Source organism: Homo sapiens, chromosome 1 (assembly GCF_000001405.40).
Source record: "Homo sapiens chromosome 1, GRCh38.p14 Primary Assembly".
NCBI lineage: Eukaryota > Metazoa > Chordata > Mammalia > Primates > Hominidae > Homo > Homo sapiens.
In genome coordinates this window covers 119,791,834-119,819,348 of record NC_000001.11, presented here as the reverse complement: position 1 = coordinate 119,819,348, position 27,515 = coordinate 119,791,834, and the positions used below count along the sequence as shown (strand labels likewise).

Sequence of the window (27,515 nt, the reverse complement as noted above, 5' to 3'; positions counted from 1 at the left end):
GCACACGCATGTTTATTGTAGCACTATTCACAATAGCAAAGACTTGGAACCAACCCAAATGTCCAACAATGATAGACTGGATTAAGAAAATGTGGCACATATACACCATGGAATACTATTCAGCCATAAGAAATGATGAGTTCATGTCCTTTGTAGGGACATGGATGAAGCTGGAAACCATCATTCTCAGCAAACTATTGCAAGGACAAAAAACCAAACACTGCATGTTCTCACTCGTAGGTGGGAATTGAACAGTGAGAACACATGGACACAGGAAGGGGAACATCACACACTGGGGCCTGTCATGGGGTGGGGGAAGAGGGGAGGGATAGCATTAGGAGATATACCTAATGTTAAATGACGAGTTAATGGGTGCAGCACACCAACATGGCACATGTATACATATGTAACAAACCTGCACGTTGTGCACATGTACCCTAAAACTTAAAGTATAATTTAAAAAAAAAAGGATGAGTTCATGTCCTTTGTAGGGACATAGATGAAGCTGGAAACCATCATTCCCAGCAAGCTATCACAAGGACAGAAAACCGAACACCGTATGTTCTCACTTATAGGTGGGAATTGAACAATGAGATCACTTGGACACAGGGCGGGGAACATCACACACCTGTCAGGAGGTAGGGGATTGGGGGAGGCATAGCATTAGGAGAAATATCTAATGTAAATGATGAGTTGATGGGTGCAGCAAACCCACATGGCACATGTACACCTATGTAACAAACCTGCATGTTGTGCACATGTACCCTAGAACTTAAAGTATAATTTAAAAAAAAAAGAAAAGAAAAAAAATCACAGGCCATGGTCTTCTGGTTAAATAGCTTTTTCCAAGCCAGAAGAGGTACAGACAAGTTCTCAAATAATCCTGGTCATTAAAGATGCTTACAGATATCTAATCCAGCTTTATGGCAACCGAATGAAGTCAGCAAACAGGCAGGCTTCCTGTACATTTAGTGCTGGAGAGCAGCCCTCCTTGAACTCAGGCTAAATAATCTTCAGGGACTCACAAAGCCCAAGGCTACAGACCAGGTGAGCCCTGAGGACATGCTGTGGAAGCCCATAAGGCAGGAGGATGAGATTTTGAGAGCTTGGTGATTGAAAAGCAAGGAACAGAGATACACCATAGAGAATGTGAACCTGGCAGGCGTTTAAGAAACCATCTAGTCCAACTCCCTTATTTTAATGATAAAGAAATGAGAAACCAAAGTCATGGGTCATTTTGCTCAATGACATAAATAATCCCTTGTGTGTTTATAGCACTTCTGAGTTTTCAGAGCACTTTACAGTTTTCAACAATTTTCACATAGATTATCATAACTGGTCTTCCCAGCAGCCTAGTGAGGTGGCTGGAAAAGGGATTATTTCATGTATTTATTTGTTTGGCTAATTACAAAATAAAACATGCTAGTGAGCATTTTCAAACAACACAAAATTCCATAAAAAGTCAAAGTTCTTCTCTTTTTCCACTCCCATCTCATTCCCCAAGAATAATCACAGATCAGTGTGATTTGCATATTTTTCTATGCATACAAATTAATACACCCGTGAATACTTATACAGCTTATTTTTTTTACAAAAATGAAATTGTGGTCTACATATAATACTGTGCTTTTTAATAAACACAACACTTTGAAATTCTAATAGAAAAATAAGAGCAAAGCAACCCAAAATCTCCACTCTTACAAGGCCTCAGTGAACATAGCAGAATTTAGAACGCTTACAATTTACAAAAGAGTAAACAAAAATTTAGTTTAATATTAGACAGACATGTTTTTAAAAGCCCTTTGGAACACATTGCAGTGCTTTACTACTCTGCTGTCTCCTTTCTCTCCCTCTCTTCACCTTTTTTCCTGCTCCCCTCCATTAAATTTCAAGTTTATTGCTAAAAAGCAGAACAATTTAAGTACGTTTTACTGCCTTGCATTTTCCTAATCAATATTCTTAGGGTCTCACTTTCCACCCCAATTTACTTACCAAGGTATTTTCCCTATCAAAGACAATTCCCCTAAAAAAGAATTATAGTGCCTGCTATTATAATAGCCTTTTACACCTCTACATATGCATCTGTAAAATGTATATAAATTATTGAGATAAAAAGCTCAACCTAGTCTGTGAAAATCTTTAGAAGAAAATATAGAGTAAAGAAACTAACATGTATTGTGGGCCTATTATGTGTCAAGTGCTATCCTGGGGATTTCAATACACTGAGATTTGTCTAGTGAGCACTTATTAAACACAACTGAAGTGTCAGACATATAGACAAATATGAAAAGTCACATCTCTGTTCTTGAGAAAAGATACCTTATTGAGGACATTAGGCCCATAAGCAAATAATTTCCACACACTGTGGGAAATGTTATAGAGGAGGGGGCTGGTTTAGGACAGGAATCATGAAGGAAATTAAGTTTGAGTTGAAAACCTTAAGAGATGAAAGCTTTTTATTTTACATCTTGGTAGTGGAACTTCCATTGTGCCTCTTGGGCAAATCAACTGATGCTTTCTAGCTGGAGAGCTTATCATGAAAATAGATAATAGGTTGTTCATGAAGTGGTGGAGAAGGAGAGTTAGTTCCATGCCACGTGTCTCCCACTGTGGGGTGAGTGAGTGGGGATGAATCCTGCTGCTCTCAAGACAAGAGTTTTTTCAAACTGGCTATAAAAGTTAATGGACACCTCCACAGTGACTCATTTCCTTTCTCCTGCTGATAGGATTTGCTTCAATATCAGGAGATGTTAAGGGTTTGCTTGTATCAGTGATCATGGTCAACATCGCTGTCAAATATGAAGGGACAAAGTCCAAGGCCATAAAACTCTGCACCCTGTGGAAGCAGGGACAAAATCACAGTACTTTTTTCCTTCTTTTTAAATATAATGATTAGTTCATGCTGTTTCTTAGGATTTAAGATTAGAAAAAAATTACAAGACTCACCTCCATATTATATAGTCATGTCAGTTCTTCCCCAAATCCTTCTACCAGACTTCATTTTTTTACATTCCCCCAAAATACACCTTCTTTGACCTCTTTCTAACGCCATTTCAATCTATATTTTCCACACTGCTGCCCATCTGGCTGGGGTTCTTCTTTCGACCCTTTCAAAAAACTTCTGACAGTTATCAACTACTAGTAAAACAGAAACTGTTCATTAGTTAAAATGGGTCCTAAGTGAGTAGCTGTCAGACTGAAACTATAGGCAATTTACCCTCGACCTCAAATGAAGAAATACTGAGAAGCTCCACTATTCGACTCAGGATGAAGTTCATCAGTCATTTGAAGAGGAAGGGAAAGGAATCGCATCCAAGCTTCAACTAGGGAAAGAAGAGAACGAAAAATGTGCTGCAGATGTGACAAAAGAACACCAGACTCAGTCTATCACATCGCAGAGAAGGACAAAGATTTCTTTCTAAAATGTACCCTAGGTGTCAGCTGAGACACTCCTGCTTGGTGACCTAATTACATTTGGCTCAAATGCAAGTTCTATAGCTTTCCCCCAAACTCCCCACAATTCCTTCAGTACTCAGAACTTACTTCCACGAGTTTCCCTCTGTCTCTAAGCTTCCCTGCAAACAGGAACGATTCATCTTTTCTTCCACATCAACTTGTTTCCACAAAAATATTCGCCCCCATCTTCTTGGTTTGTGCTGTACAATATGGTAGCCACTAGCCACACATAGCTGTTTAAACTTAAGTTTAACTAATTGGAATTAAATGAAGCTCACAATTCAATTCCACATTCTTAGTCATCGTATTTTGAGTGCTTGATAGCCATATGTGGCTAGTGACTACCTCACTGAAACCACAGATTAGAATACATCCATTATCTTAGGGAATTCTGTTAGACAGCTGTACCAGCATGTCACAAACTGATGAGAGCTTACTGAATATCTGTGGACTTATGGAGAGAGATCACATTTTAATTTTTTATCAGAATATTCACTTTTATCTAAGCATGTTTAATCACATGCCACTTTTGAGAAATGTACTATCTACCTATAGGGATGTACTAATGCACAGGTTTCCATTTGGAGTCTTTTAGGAAGCCAAGTTAAATCACCACATAGATGAAGTTTAATTGTTTCAAGTGGGCTTAGAGCATGAATTCTTCCAAGAGAGGAAATAAGGCTTTTCTCCCTGACAAAGAAGTGAATGTCTTCTCCAAAAATATGTTCAGTGAAGTTTTCCTGGGCTGGGTGCAGTGGTTCATGCCTGTAATCCCAGCACTTTGGGAAGCCCAGGCGGGTGGATCGCCTGAGGTCAGGAGTTCCATACCAGCCTGACCAATATGGTGAAACCCCATCTTTGCTAAAAGTACAAAAATTAGCTGGGCTTGGTGATGGGCACCTATAATCCCAGTCATTTGGGATGCTGAGGCAGGAGAATCACTTGAACCTGGGAGATGGAGGCTGCATAGAGCTGAGATCACACCACTGTACTCCAGCCTGGGCAACAGAGCCAGACTCATCTCAAAAGAGAAAAAAAAAAAGTGAAGTTTTCCTCTGTGGGAAAAAGAAAGATATGAGTGAGCTTGCTTGTTCCCTAGAACCTCTAGATGGAAATACCTAAGAAGAAAAGAGGCAGATTTTGAAGCAATTACTCTTCTTTGGATTGCTGGTTAGTTTCGCTACTAAAAATTGCTGAACATAAGGTGAGAGAGAGGAAGGAGATGTGATCCCTGACCTGAAGTAGCTTAGTGAAATATAGGTAGCCAACCAGAAAATAGAGACTTTAAGTGCCGAGCCTGGGGTATGTGAGCACAATGGAAGGCATCTCTGCTGTCAGAGAGTAGAATAAGGAAAAGCCTCCAAAGCAATGCTGTAAACCAAACCAAGCTGTCATTGTGGCAAGATCCTGCAGGACAGAAACCAGATGGCTGTTCTTCAACTTTTTATCACCTCCTGTCCCCTTCCCTACCACACCTACACCCATATACCCAGATTCTTGCACTTAATCACATTCAATATTTATTGAATGAACTAATTAAAAGATGAATAAACACACCCAAACAAGGAATGAGAAAAAGGGCATTGCAAGCAGAGGAATGACATGAAAAAAGGCATGGAGGTGTGACCTTGAATGGGGTTGTTCCAGGGAGTACCAACATGTGGTGTTGATGGGCACAGATTTGACTGGATGGAGTATTAGTGCTGGAGGCAAGAGTGATATGAAGGTGTACGACTCAGAAAGATTTTCCTGCTATACTGAAAGTCTTGGTGAATGTGGGGCTCAATTGTAATATTTCATCATAAGTGCAGCAACATCAAGTTTGCATTATCAAAAAAGTACTCTGATAATACATATACTTAAATTAATATTTTCTAATGAAGTCTCAATTTAATCATGATCAGATCTTAGAATATTTTAACTTCATTCCTAACTCTCTTTAATCTCGTTTGTTATTGTCTGGTATTTTTGTTCCTACTTATATTAAAAATGAAATAAAGTTACTATTAATTTTATTTTAAACATTATTATAACTAATACAGTCAACACATTTCTTTATTGTAACACATCTTCTGGGATTATTTTATTTTTTGACAAAGGACACGCTTAAGCAGTAATTTCAATGAGTCTATGGATAGCAATCTTACTACGTTCTCATAACTTTAACATATCTTTTTGTCATACTCACCCTTAATGGTTGGTTAGCTGGGTACAGAATTCCAGGTTGAAAGTTGTTTTCCTTTGCACTTTAAAGCTAGTGTTCCATACTACCGAGCCATAAAAAGGAATGAAATAATGGCATTCACAGCAACCTGGATGGAATTGGAGACTATTATTCTAAGTGAAGTAACTCAGGAATGGAAAACCAAACACTGATGTTTTCAGTCATATGTGGGAGTTATGAGGATGCAAAGGCACAAGAACGATCCACTGGACTTTGGGGACTCGGGCGAAAGGGTGGGGGGTGGCAGGAGATAAAAGGCTACACGTTGGGTATAGTATACACCGCTTGGATGATGGGTGCCCCAAAATCTCAGAAATCACCGCTAAAGAACTTATCATGTAACCAAACACCACCTGTTCCCCAAAAACCTATTGAAATTAAAAATAATAAATAAATAAATAAAGCTACTATTCGAAAGCTGCCTGGCTTCCACTTTATCTCTCCATTATGGTGCCATCCCCATCCTTGTCACTTTGAAGGTGATCATTGCTGATTTGGGGCTTTTAGGATTCTCACTTTGACCATTTCATGTATGAGGTGTTTATATGTAGACTTTTTTTTTTTAAATAAACTTACTATTCAGTGGACCTTTTTGATTCAGACAATTTTCTGGTCCTTTACATTCTTACATCTCAAAGGTTTATGTGAGTCCTATCAATGCCTTAATTTGGAGCTAGTCAATGTGAGGGTTCAGTAAGAGACCTCTTAAAAGTCCTATGAACATCTTGTTTTCTAATCTGTTCTACTCTCTTCTCTCTCATCTCAAGTCTTTAAATCTGGATAATGGCATGGGGATAGCAGACTAAGGGTTGGGATGGCTGCTGGAAACACAGGAGATCTATCTAATCACCCATTTTGTTAAAACTTTTCTGTCTTACATCTGGACCAGGACTTCTGAAATTGAAAGGCTTGGAGTTAACATCTTTGTACGCCATTGTGCCATGAAGCAATGATGATTCCCATCCAGCTGCCTAAAGAGAAAGAGGTTTGTGTCAAACATTCTGATGGGAGAGATTCTTTAAAATGTTCTTTGTGAACCATGAAAGCATTACTTTCTCATGTCCTACCATGAATTTACACAACTGATGCAAAAATCTAATAACAAAGGTTGAGTAGCATTTTCCAAACAACAGTGAGCTGGGAGCAAGGAAGCTGGCTTCTGATATCAGCTTCACCCACAACTGTCTGTGCATTAAACTAGTCACAATGTTTCTCTAGGCCTCAATTTCCTCACCAGTAGAACAAAAGAGTAAGATTTGATAACTACTATGGTCCCTTCCAGACTTAAAGTTTCCAGACATAAAGGTCCTTTACAGACTTAAATCTGTAGTTTAAAGTTGAGTCATCTCTGGCACCTACAACCTAACCCTTTGCCATCTATACTGGAAAAGAAAATCTTGTTACTCTTTTCAAATAGCCTATTTTTCAGTAGAACTGTATTTTGGCAAACACCTATATTTGGAGTCAGAAGGACAAGGTTCAGTGTCCAGGTCCACTGCTGACCAGTGTTGTGAACCTCGGAAGGTTTCTAATCTCTCTTAAGGTTGGGTTTCTTGAGTGTGTAATGGGGATATGTGTCCTATGCTGCTCACAAGGATTTTGTTGGCATCTTATTTGATGACTTCACTGAAAACCCGTTATTGTAACACACTCTGTTGATGTAAGCTATTTTGACATGATCATCCATGTTCTGCGGGAGAAGCTCAAATAGTAGATCTCTGAGGAAACTCACGCATGTTGAAGGAGTGGAGTCGGTGCTTTAGGAAGGAAAATCTGTGTGTGGGTCTCAAGTCTCACCGCATGGGTCATAACCTATTCCTGACCCTGACAGAAAATCCTTCTAGAAATAAAAGAGAAATAAAGGAAATCCACCATACCAAGGCATAAAAAGACAGCCATGAAAAAGTAACATAAGGGGAGAGGAAGATGGGCTTATAACAGATTACAGGATGTTGTCAGTTTTAATAACGTGATGTGAAGAAAAGATTCTGTTTGCACACAGGGAGAGGTTCTTTTCCTGGCTAGTCAAAGCACACCTTACGTACATTCTGAAGCCGTCTCTTATATGATTCATTTTTTTCACTGTAGATAAGACTTTTATGGATGGATTGTTTTTCTCAAATAATATTATCGCTTTGTGACTAAAGTAAAGATTATTAATTCCTGAGGCAAGAAGATATAAAAGCTCCAGAAACGTTGACTGGGACCACTGGAGACACTGAAGAAGGCAGGGGCCCTTAGAGTCTTGGTTGCCAAACAGGTAATCCTCCTCGCGGTTGATGATGGGGGACTTTCTTTAAACATCTGTTTTCCTCTGTCAGCTATTAGCCAGGCCAGAAATGACAAATTGTATTTCTAGTGAGGCTTGTCAGGCTTTCTGTTGCTGTGTTGTTTGATTTAAATTATTTACCTTCTTTTCTTCCTTCACTGCAAAGAGCATTGGCTTTGGTGTCAAGCTGTTGGGTTAAATCTTGGCTCTGCAGTCTGGTAGCTGGGAAACTTTAGAAAAGTTACTCAATCATAAGTGTCAGTGTCTTCATTTGTAACATGCATTCATGAGATCTACAGTGCAGGTTTTTTGTTTTTGTTTCTGTTTTTGTTTTTGTTTTTGTTTTTTTATGGAGTCTTGCTCTGTCTCCCAGGCTGGAGAGCAATGGTGCAATCTTGGCTCACTGCAACTTCTGCCTCCCAGGTTCAAGTGATTCTCCTGCCTCAGCCTCCTGAGTAGCTGTGATTACAGGCACTTGCCACCACGCCCAGCTAATTTTTGTATTTTTTAATAGAGACAGGGTTGTGCCATGTTGGCCAGGCTGGTCTTGAACTCCTGACCTCAGGTGATCCACCTGCCTCAGCCTCTCAAAGTGCTGGGATTTCAGCCATGAGCCACCACACCCGGCCCAGTGCAGCTTACTTATGAACATGACATGCAGACATTCAATGAATATCAGTTCACTAAAAATTATTCACAGATTAGTAAAAAAGATGCTGCCTCTCCCTTCCCCCAGATGGTCACCTTGACAGAGAAATTCTGTTTGCGTTTTAAAGGGGTTTGAGGACATTGAAAATACACTATTACTTTTGGAAGGAAAGTTTAGCAAAGTGCAAGGTTCACGCAATGATTTAAAAAGAAGTAAGGGGTGGGGAAGGTCACATCCACACTCTCCAAGCTTTGTCTCATTCTCAGTTAATGTTGCCTTAAAGTGTTCAGATGGACCCCAGAATTGATTTTCCAGAAAAGTCATCATTTACATTATTCTCTTTAAGCAATCCATTATTTGAGAGTTAGATTGTATATTCAGATTTTTTAATCATAAAGTATGATTAAATGTGAATTCAATGAATTAACTCATTTTAAGAATTATTTGGGAGGGAAATCCAGAACTCAGTTTCATACTTATGTTAAAACAAAGCCCAGACAGATGAAAATAGAACAGTGATAAATATTTTAACCTTATGTGACAGTAATGGCCAGTCTTTTGATATAAATTTAAAAATTATTTTTAAAAACATAAAAAATAACAATATTTTTGAAAATTTCAGAATGGCAAAAATTATAATAAGTAAGAGAAAAATACAAACTGAGAAATACTATTAGTAACACGTGAAAGGCAATAAACATACAAAAAAGATCTCACAAATAAACATACAAAAAAGATCTCACAAACAATGAAATAGAAAAATGTGCAAAACTGTAAAATGAAAATTCACCAAATACTAAAAGCAAATCATTATATAAAAAGATGTTCAACTTCATTAGTAATTATAAAATATTTTAAAACACTAAGGTTCTTCTTTAATATACCAAAATTAGCCAAAAACTTGACAAAATTAAGCATTCTCTGGGAGCTTAGGGAACCAATCCTTTTAGTGCCCTATTAATGAGGTAAATATCACAGCCCATACATTTTAACAAAGGGTATTAAAATGACAATGTGCATGTTGTGTGATGCCACAACCCTATATATGAGAATTTATACTAAAGAAAAAATAAAAAATGCATGAAAGTTATGTGAGTGCAAGACAATGTATTACAATTAATCTGTTTCTGAGAAACAAAACCAGGCTATAGGACTATATGATCTTATTTTTATAAAATTGTACACAGAGAGAGGTGCATAGAAAGATATCTGTAGGCTACTCACCAAATTATCTCCTGGAGATGGGATTTACTTCTTATTTTCTAGTTTTGCATTGATTTTCTAATAGCTCATGTGTTGTTTGCTAATGGGGAAAAGATAAAGCCATGTTCTTTATTTTTAAAAATGATGTCAACTAAGTGTAAAGGAAAGAGTGCTGATGGAGTCAGATCTGCTTATAGCTGGTGTCCATGAACAAATGACTTCATACTTACTGACCTCAGGTTTTCTCATCTGTAAAATGTGGGTATTGGACACTGTGCTCACGTTTAATTTTAACATTTAAAAATTCAATGTCGGAGCCATTCTATTGGATTTTCTTGACAACAGAATGCCCATATCCGTCTTACCTGTGAGGAAGCTTGCCTTGGGCGCCCTCTGCTGGCCCTCCTGAAGCTAACAGGGGCGAGTGCTCGGTGGTTTACAAATTGCCTCCATGCAGACTATGAAACTGTTCAGCCTGCTATAGTTAGATCTCTGGCACTGGCCCAGGAGGTCTTGCAGGTAAGAACAAAATCTCTTAAAATTTTCTAACCTGTACATCTAACTTGAGATTCCCTTCATTATAAAGTCTGGATTTAGCCAGGAAAATATTGTATTATTTTCCTCCATATGTATTAGTTGGCATCTAGATTCCTGGGTCCTTCTCACCTGTGCAAATGTGTTCAGATTTGCAGATCAAGGAGAACCCAGGAGTTTCAAAGAAGCGCTAGTAAGGTCTCTGAGATCCTTGCACTAGCTACATCCTCAGGGTAGGAGGAAGATGGCTTCCAGAAGCATGCGGCTGCTCCTATTGCTGAGCTGCCTGGCCAAAACAGGAGTCCTGGGTGGTGAGTATCCATCACGTAGCTGGAACTGAGCCACAGCCAGTGTTCACACAGCCCATGTGAGACAGTCATCCATTTGCCCACAAAAACATTTAGGAACTGCAGGAAATAGGTTTTTAAACATGGAGATGAAAAACAAAGATAGGTACTAAAAAATTCAAGGGCTCTAGAATCCAACAAAACTCAATTCCATATGATTATAACCCATACTTAAATCATCAGTTAAGGGTAAGTTATAATATTAATTTGGCAAGTTTATTGTGAAGGGCAGAGATAATGTGTTTGAAACACCTGTTGCCTAGCAGATTGTCAATAAGTCATAGCCATAATTAGAATTCCCCAATGCTTATGCACTGGTTTATCATTTTGAGCATTATTAGGGATTCCAGTTTGCAAGGTACCTACAATCTAGTTAGAGAGATGGCGCTTATACATTTATAGATCACACATCAAGTGCAAAGTAACATGGCAACAAAGTGGGTAGCAATATTGTAGAATCCACCAATAGAGAAAGCAGGGGAGGAACAGTGTACGAGTGAGCTAAGAAGAAATGTCACAGAATACCAGAAATGGAAGGAAATGAAATGTGATCTCATCTGGTGTAATGTCTTTGTTCTATTTACAAGGAAAATGAATTCCAGAAAAGGGTAGAGATTTGCCCAATGTCACACAGTAAGATTAAGTGATGCTTGGGCTTCTAGTGCCTTTCACAGTCCCATGTGGCTTTGCTGGGTGTTGGACATGTAAGAGTGAGTGAAGAATCCATACTTGAGCATTGCCTCTGTTGAGAAGAGGGCTTCCAGAGGGGACCAGTGCTATCTGTTACTTAGTACTGCTACTGCTGGGGAATGCCCTTGGCCAAGGGTAGGACGGTTTGGAAGGACATACTAAGAGAAGCAAGGTTCTTTGGGCATCATTTTGGCCCCTATGGCTGCAGTCTGCGGTCCTGGTCATAGTTATCCCTAATATGTCTTTCATGGCTCTTTGTCTTCAACCCTACACCAGTTCACTGAACTATCGCAGGCTGCTCAGGACCTGTGGAACTCAGCCATGCAAAGGAAACCATGCAAGAGAGTGCAAGGCTCTGGGGGGCTGCTCTTGAGCCCCTCCTGCAGAGCTGCCTTCTGTGGCCATTTCTATGTGGCCAGGTGGTTCCCTGCCACTCTTGTTCTGTGCTGACTTCAGACCTACTTAGTGAAACTTGAAATTTGCCCAAGCTATATCCTGGGGAATGTGATACAACCATCTTCCTATCCCTGGGATCTCACTAAACTCTCTGGCTTCTCTCCTGAGGAGGAGATGCAGACACAAGATTCACTACAGGTCCTTCAATTTCTCTCTTCCAGATAGATCTTCCTTCCAGCTGCAGAAGGACATTCTACTTATTCTTACTATCTTGGGGGAACCTCCCTTATGACATATCCTAAATGTTCTTTGCACTGCTGTACTTAAGAGAAATAGAGGGGACTTAGAAATTAATTTTCTCTCTCAATGAGACCTTGTAGTGAATATTAAACTCTTATTGCTTCCACAGTGAGTTCTTTGTCCTGATACCTGCCCTTCACCTGAAGCAATTCATGGCATTGATTCAGTGAGTGGAGAGACATAGAGCAACATCATTTATGGACACTAAAAAACTTCATCTGGCTTATCTTTTCAAAACTATTACATAATAATGATGATGGGTTTTAATAGCTTCAGGTTTTAACTAGCTACTATTTGTCGAACAATTCCTATACACTAGGCTCTGTGCTAATCACTGTACGTGAATTATCTTAATTAATCTTCCCAACAACTGTGTGAAGAAGGCATATATTGTTGATCCCACTGTACAGACAAGAAAAGTAAAGCTGAAAGAGATTAAATCATGTTCCTAAGGTCATACATGTAATAAGTGAGGGAGTAGAACGAGTATTGGAGTAGTCCAGGCAAGATGCTAGAAGCTGAAACCTCTTGATACTGCATGTGTAGAGATGACGAGCTCTAGCACCATGTGAGGTGGGGTCAAGGTTCTAAGGCCACCATGGAAACATTGGCTTCTCTCCCAGTTTCCACCACACTCCCCATCTGGGTAACCTCAGCAGGTTACTCGCCCCTGTGAGGAGGTTCTCTTCTCTGTACAATGGAAATGGTTATCCACACCTATCTCTCAGGGAGGCTCTGGTAATTAAACAAAATAATCTCAACGAATGTGCTTGACCCATGTAGGATTTAAAGCAATAACTTGAGCATCATTACTAAGATGACTAAGACTTGGAGTCAGACTGTCTGTCTGGGGTCAAATCTTACCTTTATCATTTATTTGCTGTAGGATCCTGGGACACGATGTCTTCTTTCTGCCTTTGTTTCTTCATCTGGAACGTAGGAATAATGACAGGGTTATTATGAAGATGATTAGAATATATGTAAACGGCCTGGACCTGCATCGGGTACATAGTAAATGCTCAATAAATGTGTGGAGTAAAGCCGGGTGCGGTGGCTCAGGCCTGTAATCCCAGAACTTTGAGACACCAAGGCGGGTAGATCACTTGAGCCCAGAAGTTCCAGATCAGCCTGGGCAATGTGGCGAAACTCTGTCTGTCTCTACTAAAAAAAAAGTACAAAAAACTAGCCTGGTACAGTGGTGCTCGCCTGTAGTCCCAGCTACTCAGGAGGCTGAGGTGGGAGGATCACCTGAGCCCGGGAAGTCGAGGCTGCAGTGAGCCGAGATGGCGCCGCTGCCCTCCAGCCTGGGCGATGGGAGTGGGGTAGTGCAAGGCAGAGCCATAGCGCAGCAGAGCGGCCGTTGGTTGCATATCTAGGAGCTAAAATGTCTCCACCAAGGAGCTCACGGCCACAGCCGCAACTTGCAGAGTGTGGGGCAGAGGGGAGGGGAGAGAGATGAAGTGAGGAAGGAGGAGGGGGAGAAAAAGAATGAGAGTCAGGGAACAGACAGTCATAGGCAAGGAGGAACACACATAGGCACAGAGAGAAAAGAGAGAGTACAAAGACAGGGAGAGAACGGAGAGATACATAGAAAGTCAAAGACAGAGATGCACAAACAGAGAGATGGTAAGACAGAGAGCAGCACTCAGAGAAACACAAAGAGAGACAGAGAAAGGGGAGAAAGAGAAGAGAGAGAGTCATGATTGTCTGGGCTCCGGCGTGGTCTTCCAAGTCCTCTGCGTGTGTCCCTCGGCCCTCTGCTTTCATGGCTTGGATCCAGGGGAAACAAAGACCGTGGTGGTAGAGGGTCTGTCCTAACATGTTTGCTCACGGAAGGCCAAGGACAGTTGCTTCAGAGTGCACAAGACCAAACCAGGAGCACCAGGTGTGATGCCAGGGGTCTTTGTCCTCGGGCCAAAGGTCAGAAATTTGGGTTCCTCTTTGCCACCTCTTTCAGAACAGTCTCACTGGTATTACATTGGAAGGCATGTTTTCGCAGCTGTCCCTTTCTGAAATTTAAGCCCATGTCATTATCTGCCCTCTGGTAATCAATGGCCAGCCTTCTCTTAAGAAGATCAATTTTTACGTAAAGTGCAAGGATTTCTTTTCCTCCTGAGAAAATAATCAAGGCAGCCCAATTAATTATTTCTGTTGCTAAGTTTTGAATTTCTCGTTTTTATAAAGGTTGGGAGGGTTGGTGGCAGTAACATAGATTTTTAAATCATAGAGAACTGGATCTGCAAAGCAGCTTTTCCATCTTACTGTGTGACCGTGGGCAGATGACCATCCTGAGCCTGTTTCCTCACCTCCTCAAGCAATTATGATAAAAATGCCATATGGATAAAACACCTAACATGGTGCCTGGCATCAAGAAAGCACCTTGCAGGGTGAGGGGCAGAAAGGGGAGGGGAGAGAGATAGAAAAGTGAGGAAGGAGGAGGGGGAGAAAAAAGAATGAGAGCAGAAAACAGTCACAGACAAGGAGGGACACACAGAAACACAGAGACAAAAGAGACCGAGATGTAGACAGAGTGCAAAGACAGGTAGAGAACAGAGAGATGATAGAAAGTCAAGCACCTTATTTACAAAAGCTAGTGACAGTGGTACTAGTAGTAACGGCAATGGCATAAAGGCTGTGTTTTATTTATCATAAAATTATGTTCATGTTTATGAATGTAGTAGAAGATGAAGCATTTAAATACATGAATATCTTTGCTGTTTGTTTGTAGTATATTTGACATACTCACTGAAACATTTCCTGCCTTGCCGTAGTTAGGTTGGTCATTATTCATTATTCATAGGTACAAGGAATAGCACATACAAAGGATCTAAAGCTACACTGAGCATTCGTGTTCCAAGACGGAGCTGGGACTATGGCATAGAAGGATGTGGCTGGATAGGGGCATACAACCAGGTTATAAAATCTCTTACATGCTAGACGAGCAGAGAGCTCATCTGAAAGCAATGGGGAGCCCTGGGAGATGCATAGGCAGGGGCTGAAATAAAACAGAAGAGTGGGGCAAACAAGCGACAGTAGTATCATTTGAATGAGGAGAGAGAAAATGCTGTTATGACAGCTGCAGTCTGTGGACCTCCCTTATGGAAGGAAACACTTTTCACCCACCATGGTGTCAGAAGGTAGCCACATAGTCACAAAGCCTACACTTGCTAGCTTGACATCCCCTTGATCACCTGATGCCTCTGTACATCCAGCCATCTCCCCCTCTTTATAAACCTTCAGATTCAGTGACATGGCACATTCACCAATGGACTAGCAGGAAAAGCATGTGCCTCCCTGAATCATGGATTCCTTTGCTTCTAGGCCCTGGCTCTTTCCTATTTCTGCCATGGTTGCCTGACAGACACCCTGTACTTAAGGCAGACTTAAGTGCTTGCTGTTTCTATCCTTCCCCACACATTCCTGCCTCCTTTGCCTAAAATGTTCCCTCCCCCAGTACTGACACATAGCCCACCTATGCTCAAGTTCCAGTCAAGTTGCCATGTAACCCTTCCCTTGTCTCCCAAGCCAAAGTGACTCCTCCCTCCTTGGAATGCTCCAAACTACCAATTTGTGTCCCTCATCCACTCTTGTGATGCCTTAAATTATAGTTATTTGACCTTCACTGCTAATACAAGATTCTGCCAGCTGCTGAGAATCTATTCCAATTATGAGTGTCTATCTAGTCCAATTATGTATGTATGTATATTCCAATTATGCATTCCAGAACTGGGGAGATAACCACAGCATGGGTTCAGGGGACCCACTGGACTCACTGGACCCACTGTGAGGCAGATCAAGCTAAAACTCCATTGATCACCTGACTTCCATAACCCCTACTCTGACTGGTGGACCGCAGTGACGTTTTCTTGGAATTAATGTCTGTTCAGAGGCAGTGTCCAGTAATCGCAGAAACACAGTCACACTGGTAAAAGGCCATAGGTCCCTTTGGGAAAAGCCAGAAGAAGGGTAAGCTGTATACATTTTTGGCAGTGTAGCAGGACCCTTCATGAAGGGACTCTCTTCATTCAAGGGGTTCCTGATTGCAAACTGTATCAAGTCTGGGAATTGATTGTTTTTGCTATCATAATGTGCAATTGCCTTTTGTTTATGTGCAGATATCATCATGAGACCCAGCTGTGCTCCTGGATGGTTTTACCACAAGTCCAATTGCTATGGTTACTTCAGGAAGCTGAGGAACTGGTCTGATGCCGAGGTAAGAAACTTGCTGCCTGCTTGGCCTGGCCTTTCTAGAGCAAAGGACCAGCCAGAGCCCCAGATCTCATTTGATTCAGGATCAAGTGTCCTTCCTGGGCACTATGAAGAGAAGCCCCTTTGGCTGGTGAAATGGAGAGAAGAGGGTTGTGTGTTCAACTCATTCAATTCTGTAAGCATTGCTGAAGCAGGTGCTGTATGCCAGACCCTAGATGGGCTACAAGCACATACGGATACATAGGAAAGAGCCCCTACCCTCAGCAAGCTCACTGTCAGTAAAGGAGACAGAAATACATCAATCAAAGGAGGAAGAGAAGATGAGGAATTCACAGAAAGGATAATGGAGTTTCTGTACAAGATTTACCAGAAAGAGAGTGGTGTGTAGACATGCCTGGAGCAGACACCTTGGAGCCGCTGACAGAAGGTGAAGCAGTCCAAGAAAATGTGGAAACTTTTCCGCTGCTCTACACAGTCCACAAACCTGTCCATTTTATTTCGTTGAAGCTTTGTCTGAGAGATAACCAAATAGACAGTCAAAGTAAGTTATCTCAGCCACATATGGGGAGTGGATGCTGCTGAATTGTGATTAATTGGGGGAGCCATATAGGTACATTTGGCATGATCTGGGCCTATGCGGTCTTACAATCCCTGTATAAAACTAGACAATGAAAAACAGAAAACAAAACAAACAAACAAAAAAACAAGAACGAAGCACCTACCACATGCCAGCTACTGAGGCTATGAAGGTATTCTCCCGCCTTAGAAAGCCCAGGATTAATGCAGGATTGCGACATTTAAACAGAACATTTCCATACAGCATGAGTATAAATGACTTTCCCAAGTTTACACTGAGAGTAACTGACACAGCAACCCCAGCAAAGTCTGAGCTGAGTCCTGAATAATTGTATAAAAAGGGGAGAGAAACAGAGTGAAGAAAGGGTTTCCCAGACTCTGTCCCAGGAAAGAAAATGAGCTCGTGGAGAGGAATAGACTTTCTCTATGAAAACAGAGGGAACAAAGAGGAAGATGTCTGGGAACCGAGGAGTAATAGAGACCTGAGTTTACATCACTACTCTGCCACTCCCTAGGTACCTCCCTTTACCTGTTTCCCTACTGGAAAGTGGGATAATACTTTTTACCTCATGGACTTGTCAGGAGGATTCATTAAAACGACTCGCATAAAGCCTATGCCACATGGTAGATGCCAATTCAGGGTCTCAAGAAAGAACAGCCCACAGGATTGACACTGAACCTTAACAAAGTTAACAGGACCAAGGTGCAGAGAGGGTGCTAGGACAGCGAAGCCAAAGAGGACCCCTCAAACCCAACAAGAGCTGTGCGGCTCCCTGATTCCTCGCCAGTGTTGCTACCGCCCTTGGCTCTTCTTGCATGGCTGGCTCTTGAGACCCCTGGAAGCTGATGGAGGCAACGTGAGAAGCACATGGACATCCGACCTTGAGCTTGAGAGGCAGAGGCCTGAGTTCTAGTTACAGCCCCAGCAGTACCAGTTGTGTGGACTGGGAGGGAGGCTATCACGTACATACTTCAAGCCTCCAAACCTGTTTCCCCTTCTGACACAGGATCTTCTGTGGCTGGTATAGAGTGGGCACTCAATAAATGCTGTCTGGTCGTCTGGCTGGCATGCCTCATGGGCCTGAGAATTGAATAGAATTACAGTGATAGAAGCATGCTGGTATTGTAAGTGGTTTGTAAGTGTGAGGACTAAATTATTATTAAATAGTAATCACATCTAATCTTGGATAAATTAGTAAAAGCAAGAATGGGAGCAGTAAAAACCTAAGCAACCCGAACTAAAATTTTATTGAATTAATTCAATTTCTTGTCATGTAACACAACCCCAGAAGAGAATAAAATAAAGTTTATATACATACACCCATATATATAAACATTTGCCGTGTTTAATTGAACAATAGGTTTCTGGTTACAGAATAAGAATTTATCATGTCATGTGTTTCATACAATCCTTAAAACAGTGAGTGATTACCATTTATTTGCCCACAAGAAAAATTCAGATTGCATGGCCTTGGATATGAAAGAAGACAGCACTTTTGCAAAGGAAGAAGGAAAAATTGGGGATCGATATGCAGACATACAGAAGTAAAACAGATTTGGGATTAGAGCTGAAAGTTTTAAAAGTTGCAACAAAGCAGATAGTTACATATCTGCCTCTAGTGCCCAGGAAACCCCCAAAATCCAACCAGATTTGGAGGCATGGTTACTGTTGAGGAAAGACAAAGGGGTGGGCATATTCACCTCCAATCAGCAGGAATTCTACACCAGCACGGGGAGCAGTCTCCTCTCCTCTGGAGGATCACCTCACATGTTTAGGCAATTGATCCATGCCCATTCACTAGCAAGTCAAAATAAGTTACAGACCACTGTTTACAATTTACAGTGTGTTATTCTTATGTAATATAGGGTAATAATAATTAAAATAAACACAATATAGGCTTAGGAATTAGGGAGAGCTGGGCTCTCTTCCTGTGTCCAGTTGCCCATTCCTGATCCTCTCTCTCCCCATCCATAAACTAAAGGTGGGCCCCACCTACTTAGGCTGCTGTTAGGACCGAATGTGAGGTGCCCAGTGTGTTGGAGGTGTCCCGCAAAGAGCACTGCCATAATGCCTGTTCTCTGATGCACATTGTGTTCACATACTGACACCTCTAAAATCAGGAGTGTGCTACAAACACACTGTGTCACTGTGTATCATAGATTCATTGACAGTGATTTTATTTTCTTTCTTCGTGGGACACAAAATAATGGCACATTTTACAATCAGCAGTTTCTTAGATCTGTTGAAATGCAGTACTATAATACAATAGGCCTCATGACAGGTCCTAGGTAGCAGTAATTATTTTACAGATGAAGAAACTGAGCCTCAGAGAGGTGAAGTGACTTGTCAAGGTCACATAAACCACTGAGAGGCAAGACCAGGACCCCGGGCACGTCCTCAGACCCTAAATCTCTTGCCCTGGCCTTGTACTGCCTCTTTCTCTGAGACCGAACGCTGCAGCAGTTGTGTTTTTTCCCAGGGTGGCAGGAAGCCTTCTGTGGGGCTTAGAGCACGATGTGTGGAGGAAGTGGGGGCTGCGTGAGTCCCTCCTTCTTGGCACGCTAGCGTTCTGAGGGGAGGGCTGTGCTTTAAACATGCAGGCATAATTAACAGGACCTCTCCTTGTACATAGCTCGAGTGTCAGTCTTACGGAAACGGAGCCCACCTGGCATCTATCCTGAGTTTAAAGGAAGCCAGCACCATAGCAGAGTACATAAGTGGCTATCAGAGAAGCCAGCCGATATGGATTGGCCTGCACGACCCACAGAAGGTAACCTCAGACTTGGCCACAAAGGCCCTCTTGGGAAAGCCAGGCTGGCATCCTCTTTTTGGGGAATGGCCTCCCGGCCTATAACAAGGACACAGCGGGTGGATCTTCTCCAGATGTGCCTCCAGCTGACGGAGACCAAAGTCTCAAGGTCAGGGGCCCAGTTCTGGCCCTCGGTGGAGGATATGATTTAAATGACTCCATTGTATAGACCTTTGTCTAATTAAGGCCCTCCTGAATGGCAGAACACAAAATTACCAGCTTTCTAGAGCCTTAAAAAGTGTGTGTGTGTGTGTGTGTGTGTGTGTGTGTGTGTGTACGCACACAGGCCTATTATGAGACAGATTAATCAAATCTCCATTGGATCTTGAGTTAAAGTTGAAAACTTTCAGCTAGCCTTTTTTTTTAGATGCTGTAATTTTTTTTATGTTATCCTTGATGTTTTTCACTGTAACTTCCTGTTCTTTTCATCAATACCTTCTTGTAAGAAATGACGTGAGTGGTTTTTGTAAGGAACAGCTGGTTGATGAGGTCTAGGTGTGGGGTCTTCAGTTCACAGATTCTTGGTGGGGCTTCTTTAGTTGACTCAGACAAACACAGGGAACATAAAGCGGGAAGCCCCATACTTCCTGCTTCTTAATAAAACTGCTGAAGATACCACACATTCGTTCAACCTCTTTCACGAATATGTATGTGTCCATCCTTTAGTACTTGTCTATAAACATCTTATGGCTTTTTCTCTTTTTAAATATTATGTTACAGAAAAACAGATAATCCTTTACCATAGTTGTTACAAATATTTTATACAATTATTTCGTTTTTAATGTCATTTATTTGACTATCAGAAATTTTACATTTTTATGTATTCACATTGCTATCAATCAGAACCCTGTCATTCAGATGGAGTAAATATTTACATCTATTTCTATTTTTTGCAGTAATATTGGTAATGTTTTCCTATTAGCGGTTGAGTGGAATGACTTTCTCTTTTTCCTTCTTTAAGCATTTCTGTACTTTCCCAATGTTTGCAATGAAAACCATGTTTTAAAGGGGACTGAGGGGACTTCCTTGGCTGTGGCAGGTGGGTTGCTGAGCTGTACACTTCTCCATCTCCTGTTGTTGCAGAGGCAGCAGTGGCAGTGGATTGATGGGGCCATGTATCTGTACAGATCCTGGTCTGGCAAGTCCATGGGTGGGAACAAGCACTGTGCTGAGATGAGCTCCAATAACAGTAAGTTATAATGCACCACCCCTCACCACTTCCCAATGCGCAGACTCTTCCCTTTACCTAGTAAGCACAAAAATAGGCACAGGGGACCACTGCCCTCCTCATTCCACACCAACAACTCTTTTCTCCAGCAAGGCAGTGGCCTTGCCACAGACATTGGTTACCAACATTCAGTCCTTTGTGATCACTTTACAGTCTTTGTCACATCAATGTACCAGCTGTTCTGTTATTTACTCAATATTTTCTTTAAATCCATTCATTTTTTTTCTGAAATACACTTATTTTAAAATCACATTCTATACCATGAGAGGGATATATATCCCATTTTGGGAAGCCCAGACCACAGGGAGTAAATATATGTGGTGAAAACAGATAAATCTCTTCTGACTTCTTTAAAATGAGGGTTTGCCATGAGCCCTGGAAGGCCGGTCTTTGCCTGAGTTCTTCCCTTCTGTCTGTTTCCCTGAATCCTGTCCCCAGAATGTGGTGGCCTGAAGCTCAGCGCAGGCTGCACACACTCGCGTGAGCCTTCTCCTTTCTCTGGCCTGCTTTCATTCTTTGTCTTTATGCTCATGAGTTAGACTTTTCAGCATTCATACTGGTGACATCTTGGGCTGGATACTTCTTGGTTGTGGGGGCTATCCTGTACATTGCAGGAGGTTGAGCGGCATCCCTGGTCTCTAATCAGTAGGTGCCAGTAGCACTCCTCCTCCCAGGTCGTGACAATCAAAAATATCTCCAGGCATAGCCAAGTGTTTCCTGTGGGGGGCAAATTCACCCCCTGGTGAGAACCATGATTAATAAGCGGTGTAGAAAACTTCAGCTGTACAAGATCACAGAATATTAAAGAATACTCAGTGCCAAAGGTCGTATACTTGAGAATATCCCAGTGGGTCTAATAGGCCATCATAGTGACACCAGGACCCCCTGCCAGCCAAGAAGTCGGCCTGGAGCAGGCCTGGGCTGAGGTCTCAGCTATTGGGCTGGGGTAGGGAGGGACTTGGTCATCCCCAGCAGGACATGGGGGCAGTTTACTGTTGTCAGAGGAATAAACTTATAAGAAGGAAAGAGAGAGTGAGAAAACTTTCTAACAGCATGAGGCAAAGGGCAGGCATGAGGAGACACACTCTGAGGAAAGCCCTCAGAGATAAACAGCCATAGAGGGGATTTTCACAGACCAGTGAGAGCACAGCTGCTGCTGTTCAAGGCAGAAGTTGGCTCAAATGGAAAAAACACAACCAAAACCAATAGGTAGAGGCTATCAACAAGTGGATTTTTACTCCAATCAAGGAAAAAATTTTAAACAGTTAGCACTGCTCAAACACATAATGAGCTACCCCAGGAAGTAGTGAGAAACCTTATAACCAGAGTTAACCAAGCAAAAGGTGGACATTGTAGTTGTTATTGCAGTTGACGCATTAAGTGTTAGAAGCGAGGCTCCATGGCACAAAAGAATCAAATGAGGAACATTGTAAAAATACCAATATCAGGGATTCGTTTTCAGACCTGCAGCATCAGAATTTCTGGGACTGGAGGCCAGACCTGCTTTGGGAGCAGTAGACCAGATGCCTCCCTAAGTCCCTCACATTCCCCAGATTCTGACATTCCCATTGGACAAAGTCCTCAAACGAAAGTCCTTTCCCTGTGAGTCGATGATCACATCAGCAAAATTCAGTAGCGAAGTTGCCTCTGTTGTGTGGATGGGAACCAGAAGCCTGAAGCTCTCTGAGAACAGCACGTCTTTGGGTTCCTTTCCTTTCCCATGGTTACTTACCCAGCTCGTGGCTGTCAGAACACAGGCTCTCAAGGCAGAAAAGCACAAGGAATGAAGCAAGGATTTGAGAGAAACTGGTGGAAGGTAGAATTTAAAAGCCCATCCCCCTCAGCCACATCAGTACAATGGATTTTGCTCCCCACTCAGTTTCTATTTTTTTTAATTCAAAATGTATATTAATGCCCCAATATACAGCCACACACACATTCTTGTTCTCTCTTTGTGACAGGGCTGTTCCTTTTTTATAACTCTTTAGAAAGAATTCCAGAGCATTTTATTTTGTGTGTCCCTCTCTCACCCTTTCTGACTCTCCCCTTTACATCAAAATGTGTTTTGTGACTCTGGAAAATTGCAGCTTGCAATGTTTCCTGATGTTTTGCTGGTCCACTTTGAGACATTTAATAATGATAACTTGGGTTTTGCAGTTGGAAAAGAAATTTCATATTCAGTATACGTTGAGGTCAAGAGCATGGGTTCTGCATTCTGAATGCCCAGGGTAGAATTCCAGCTCCTCCTAGCTGAGCTGTGTGACCCTGTGCAGATCTCTGACTTCTCTGTGCCTCAAATGCCTCCTTATAAAAAGGAGGAAATAATCGCCCTAATCATCTGAATACATGTGGCATGCTTATCACGTGCAAGCTAGGCTAATGGCTCCGTGGCCTGGAGAAAAGGGAAAGTAAGGTTTCTCAGTCACCCTTCCCTGCACTCCGCCTCTGATGAGGTGGGAAAAGCAGACCTCTTGCTTAGTGCCTATAGTGAGCTGGGCTGTGCTTGATTGTTTGAAGCTGCTATTCTAGCTTATCCACAGGCTCAATGGGCAGCAACCTCAAAAGGACCTGCTGATGAGACAGTCAGTCTCAAGCCTGGCCCATGGCCTTGTGCCGTATTCTCTTTGCCCCACACTGTGAAAGTACCCACAAGCTTGCAGGCCCTGTTTCATTTATACTCTGTGGCTCCTGCGCTGAGCACTATGGATGCAGGCATGGGCAGGCCCCATCCTCTGTGGCTCCTGAGAACCAGGAGTGGGAGGGGCACACCTCACCCCCTCCTCTCCCCAGGGTTCTCACCCACCCACACGCACTGGGAACAGGGCCAGATCTGCAGGTCAGGGCCCAAGCAGACACCTAGCCAGGGAACAACTCCTCGCTCTGCTGCAGACACCCATGGAAGACAAGTGATGCTGTGGAGCTTGGCTTCTGGGAGGGAAATAGTTGGATCTCACCTCAAAAATACTTCAGTCCTTCAAAAGGCCACCTCCGCCTTGGGCTCTCTCCTTTTTCATAAGCAGATGGCCTGTTGGGATGTGAATGGCTTTAGCAGCTTTCAGTTCTTTGAACTTTGAACAGGAGCTTCTTAGAGCCTCAGCTGTGGGCTTGAGGACAGGCCACACTCAGATCCTCACTGCATCCTGCCTCAACACAAGAGCCCCTCATTCTCAGTTGATTCATGTCAACCCCTGCCTTTCCTCAAAAGCAGTGCTGGAGTGGAGCTTTTGCCATGGTGTGTGACATTTCAAGTGTTTTTCTTTCATTGGGAAAGTTGGTATCTGTATTACGGTTCTCCAGGGAAACAGAAGTAGTTGGATGTATATATAGAGAGACAGAGATTTACTTTGAGGAATTGGCTCATGCAATTGTGGGGGCTGTGAAGTCTCAAAACCGCAGGACAGGCCAGCAGCCTGGAAATTCTTGCAGGACTTAATGTTGTTGTCTTGAGTCCAAAGACGGTCTGGAGGCAGAATTTCTTCCTCTTTGGGAGACAGGTCTTTTCTCTTAAGGCCTTCAATTGATTGGAGGAGGCCCACACACATGATGGAGGGCCATCTGCTTTACTCAAAGTCTACTGATTGTTAAACGTTAATCACAGCTAAAAAACACCTTCGCAGCAATCAAACAACTGTACATCATAGTCTAGCTAAGTTGACACATAAAGTCAACCATCATATTGCCTTATCTATGCTTCCAAGAAAAACACCCAGATAACTCTGGCAAGCTCAGTATAGTACTGAATGGATTTAAATATCTGTTTATTTTCTTACAGACTTTTTAACTTGGAGCAGCAACGAATGCAACAAGCGCCAACACTTCCTGTGCAAGTACCGACCATAGAGCAAGAATCAAGATTCTGCTAACTCCTGCACAGCCCCGTCCTCTTCCTTTCTGCTAGCCTGGCTAAATCTGCTCATTATTTCAGAGGGGAAACCTAGCAAACTAAGAGTGATAAGGGCCCTACTACACTGGCTTTTTTAGGCTTAGAGACAGAAACTTTAGCATTGGCCCAGTAGTGGCTTCTAGCTCTAAATGTTTGCCCCGCCATCCCTTTCCACAGTATCCTTCTTCCCTCCTCCCCTGTCTCTGGCTGTCTCGAGCAGTCTAGAAGAGTGCATCTCCAGCCTATGAAACAGCTGGGTCTTTGGCCATAAGAAGTAAAGATTTGAAGACAGAAGGAAGAAACTCAGGAGTAAGCTTCTAGACCCCTTCAGCTTCTACACCCTTCTGCCCTCTCTCCATTGCCTGCACCCCACCCCAGCCACTCAACTCCTGCTTGTTTTTCCTTTGGCCATGGGAAGGTTTACCAGTAGAATCCTTGCTAGGTTGATGTGGGCCATACATTCCTTTAATAAACCATTGTGTACATAAGAGGTTGCTGTGTTCCAGTTCAGTAATGGTGAATGTGGAAAAGTGAAATAAGACCAAGAAATACACCCAAGTGCTTCTTCGTCTCCTTCATCTGAGTCTCTGCCTCCTCCACCCCAGCAACAGCACTGGTTCAAGGAGAGGAGAGATGCAGGTGACATGCCTGCCAACTTCTGAGCAAGGTTGGGCGAGTGGGTGCTATTTAGTTGTAAGTGCTTCTCAGCTTATGAGGGGGATGACAGTCACAGCAGGTATGGTGGAGCTGACCTGGACCCTGGACACTCTTCTCCCCCACTGCCACTGACAACATGTGTGGCCTTGTGTGACTCTCTTTGCCCTGTGAGGTTTGCAATGGCTTATGAGGTGGTTACTTCAATAATAAGGATGTGATTTTGCCTGCAAACAGATATATGACTCCCCAGGTCACGAATCTGAGTGGTCATGTAAACAGAAGCAAATATGGACTCAATGATTATAGCATATGGCTGTGGTATGATCACATTCGCATTCCTTAGAGGGAAATGCCACCATACAAGAGAGGCCATGTGGGTTGGCCATGCAGTTCAGGCTGTGTAGATCACCACTTGCTTCATCCATGATGTGCTGCCAACCGGCAAACACACCAAGTCATATTCCCTAGTCTGAGAACATTCCCTCTCATCTTAGCAGCTATTGAGTGCTGGCTGAAAGAAGAGTAAAAAGAAGGGGGAAAAGGAAGTCATGGAGCCTCTGCCCTAACCAGTTCTCCTTCTACTCTCCCTTCCTTTCTTCTTCCTTCCTTCATCACGCCCTTGTCATTCTTTTGGTTGTCAAAGAGGAAAACACTAGAAATAATGTATTGCTCCTCTCAAGTATAAAAAGGCTGGATAACCGAAAAGGTAAGTCTCCTAATAGTGATATTTCAGATAAGGTGACAGGCAAATGGAAAAGGCTCATTCTTTCAAAGCATATAGTTAGCTTCAGCAAAACTGCAACCACCAACTCCTAAGAGGGTTCTGGGCAAGTCACTGTCAGAGAAACAAACAAAATTATCAGACTGCATGATAGAGATAAAAGATAAATTGGGGTGGCTCATGCCTGTAATCCCAGCACTTGGGGAGGCCGAGGCGGGCAGATCACAAGGTCAGGAGATCGAGACCATCCTGGCTAACATGGTGAAACCCTGTCTCTACTAAAAATACAAAAAAATTAGCCAGGTGTAGTGGCGGGTGCCTGTAGTCCCAGCTACTCAGGAGGCTGAGGCAGGAGAATGGTGTGAACCTGGGAGGCGGAGCTTGCAGTGAGCCGAGATCGCGCCACTGCACTCCAGCCTGGGTGACTGAGCAAGACTCTGTAGTATTACCTGTAGGAACCGAAAAAGAAATGCAAAGGAAACATGGCTGAGAATATCTCAGAAAGGTAGAAGCTCTCAGTTTTTTCTGACTGTGGCACATATGAAAGTTAAAAAAAGGAACATCATGGCCCACCTCCCTCTCCTAATTTATTTGCTTTTTCAAGAGGAAAAATACCTCATGATAGCAAAGAAGTAGAGATGAACAAAATAAAAATCAAAAAAATTACAGATAGCAAATCTACTGAGACAAAATAAAGTCAAGTCATTCTATAAATATTTACAATATATAAAAATATATACAATATATTTAAAAATAGTTCCAATTGAAAAGGATCACCAACTTAAGACCATCTTGGCAATGTAATAATAACAAGGCTCCCTCCCTGAAATTGCTGAAATGCTGACAGTCTGCATGTGCACATACGCTGGGAAAGGCATGGATAAGCAGTCACCCATCTTATTGGAAGCCTGGGATAGTACGGAGTTAATTCTAGAACTGTCATGATTTTCATTTATGTATGTAAAACTTTAATAATCCTCAATAATTCACTGAGTGGATATATCATTCAACATATCTTTATTGAATGCATGCTGTGCGCCAAGAACTCATTTTAGAAGCTGAGAATCCATCAGTGAGCAAAATAGATAAAATTCCTTGCAATCATAGAGTATCCATTTCATCACGGATGGGGAGAGGATGTAGACAAACAACAAACTAAATAAGTAAAGGACATAGTATGAGAGGATGACAAGAGCTGTGGTGAAAACATAAAGCCAGCAAGGGGCACAGGGAACAGGGATGTGTTGGAGTGTGTATGGAATAGGTGCTATGCTTCCCCTCCTCCTTTGGTCACAACTGACAGCCAGACTGTTTCACCATTAAAAAAAATGTATAGGTTTGTGTCACTCCACACTCCATAAGT

The 27,515-nt window shown here is 42.3% G+C and overlaps 1 protein-coding gene across 3 annotated transcripts; it reads left to right on the top strand.

Annotated features, from left to right (window-relative positions):
• The first annotated feature begins 7,888 nt into the window (after positions 1-7,888).
• REG4 (regenerating family member 4) lies at positions 7,889-25,332 on the top strand. 3 transcript variants are annotated; one of them, NM_001159352.2, is made up of 7 exons: positions 7,889-7,940; positions 10,147-10,320; positions 10,486-10,646; positions 16,184-16,281; positions 19,487-19,624; positions 20,747-20,852; positions 24,664-25,332. In NM_001159352.2, exons 3-7 carry the CDS (start codon positions 10,580-10,582, stop codon positions 24,729-24,731), a joined length of 477 nt encoding a protein of 158 aa, NP_001152824.1. In that variant the 5' UTR covers positions 7,889-7,940; positions 10,147-10,320; positions 10,486-10,579; the 3' UTR covers positions 24,732-25,332. The 3 variants fall into 3 exon arrangements, with proteins under 3 accessions (NP_001152824.1, NP_114433.1, NP_001152825.1); NM_032044.4 differs by lacking the exon at positions 10,147-10,320; NM_001159353.2 differs by lacking the exons at positions 10,147-10,320; positions 19,487-19,624; positions 20,747-20,852; positions 24,664-25,332 and having other exon boundaries at positions 16,184-18,179.
• The last annotated feature ends 2,183 nt before the right edge of the window (positions 25,333-27,515 follow it).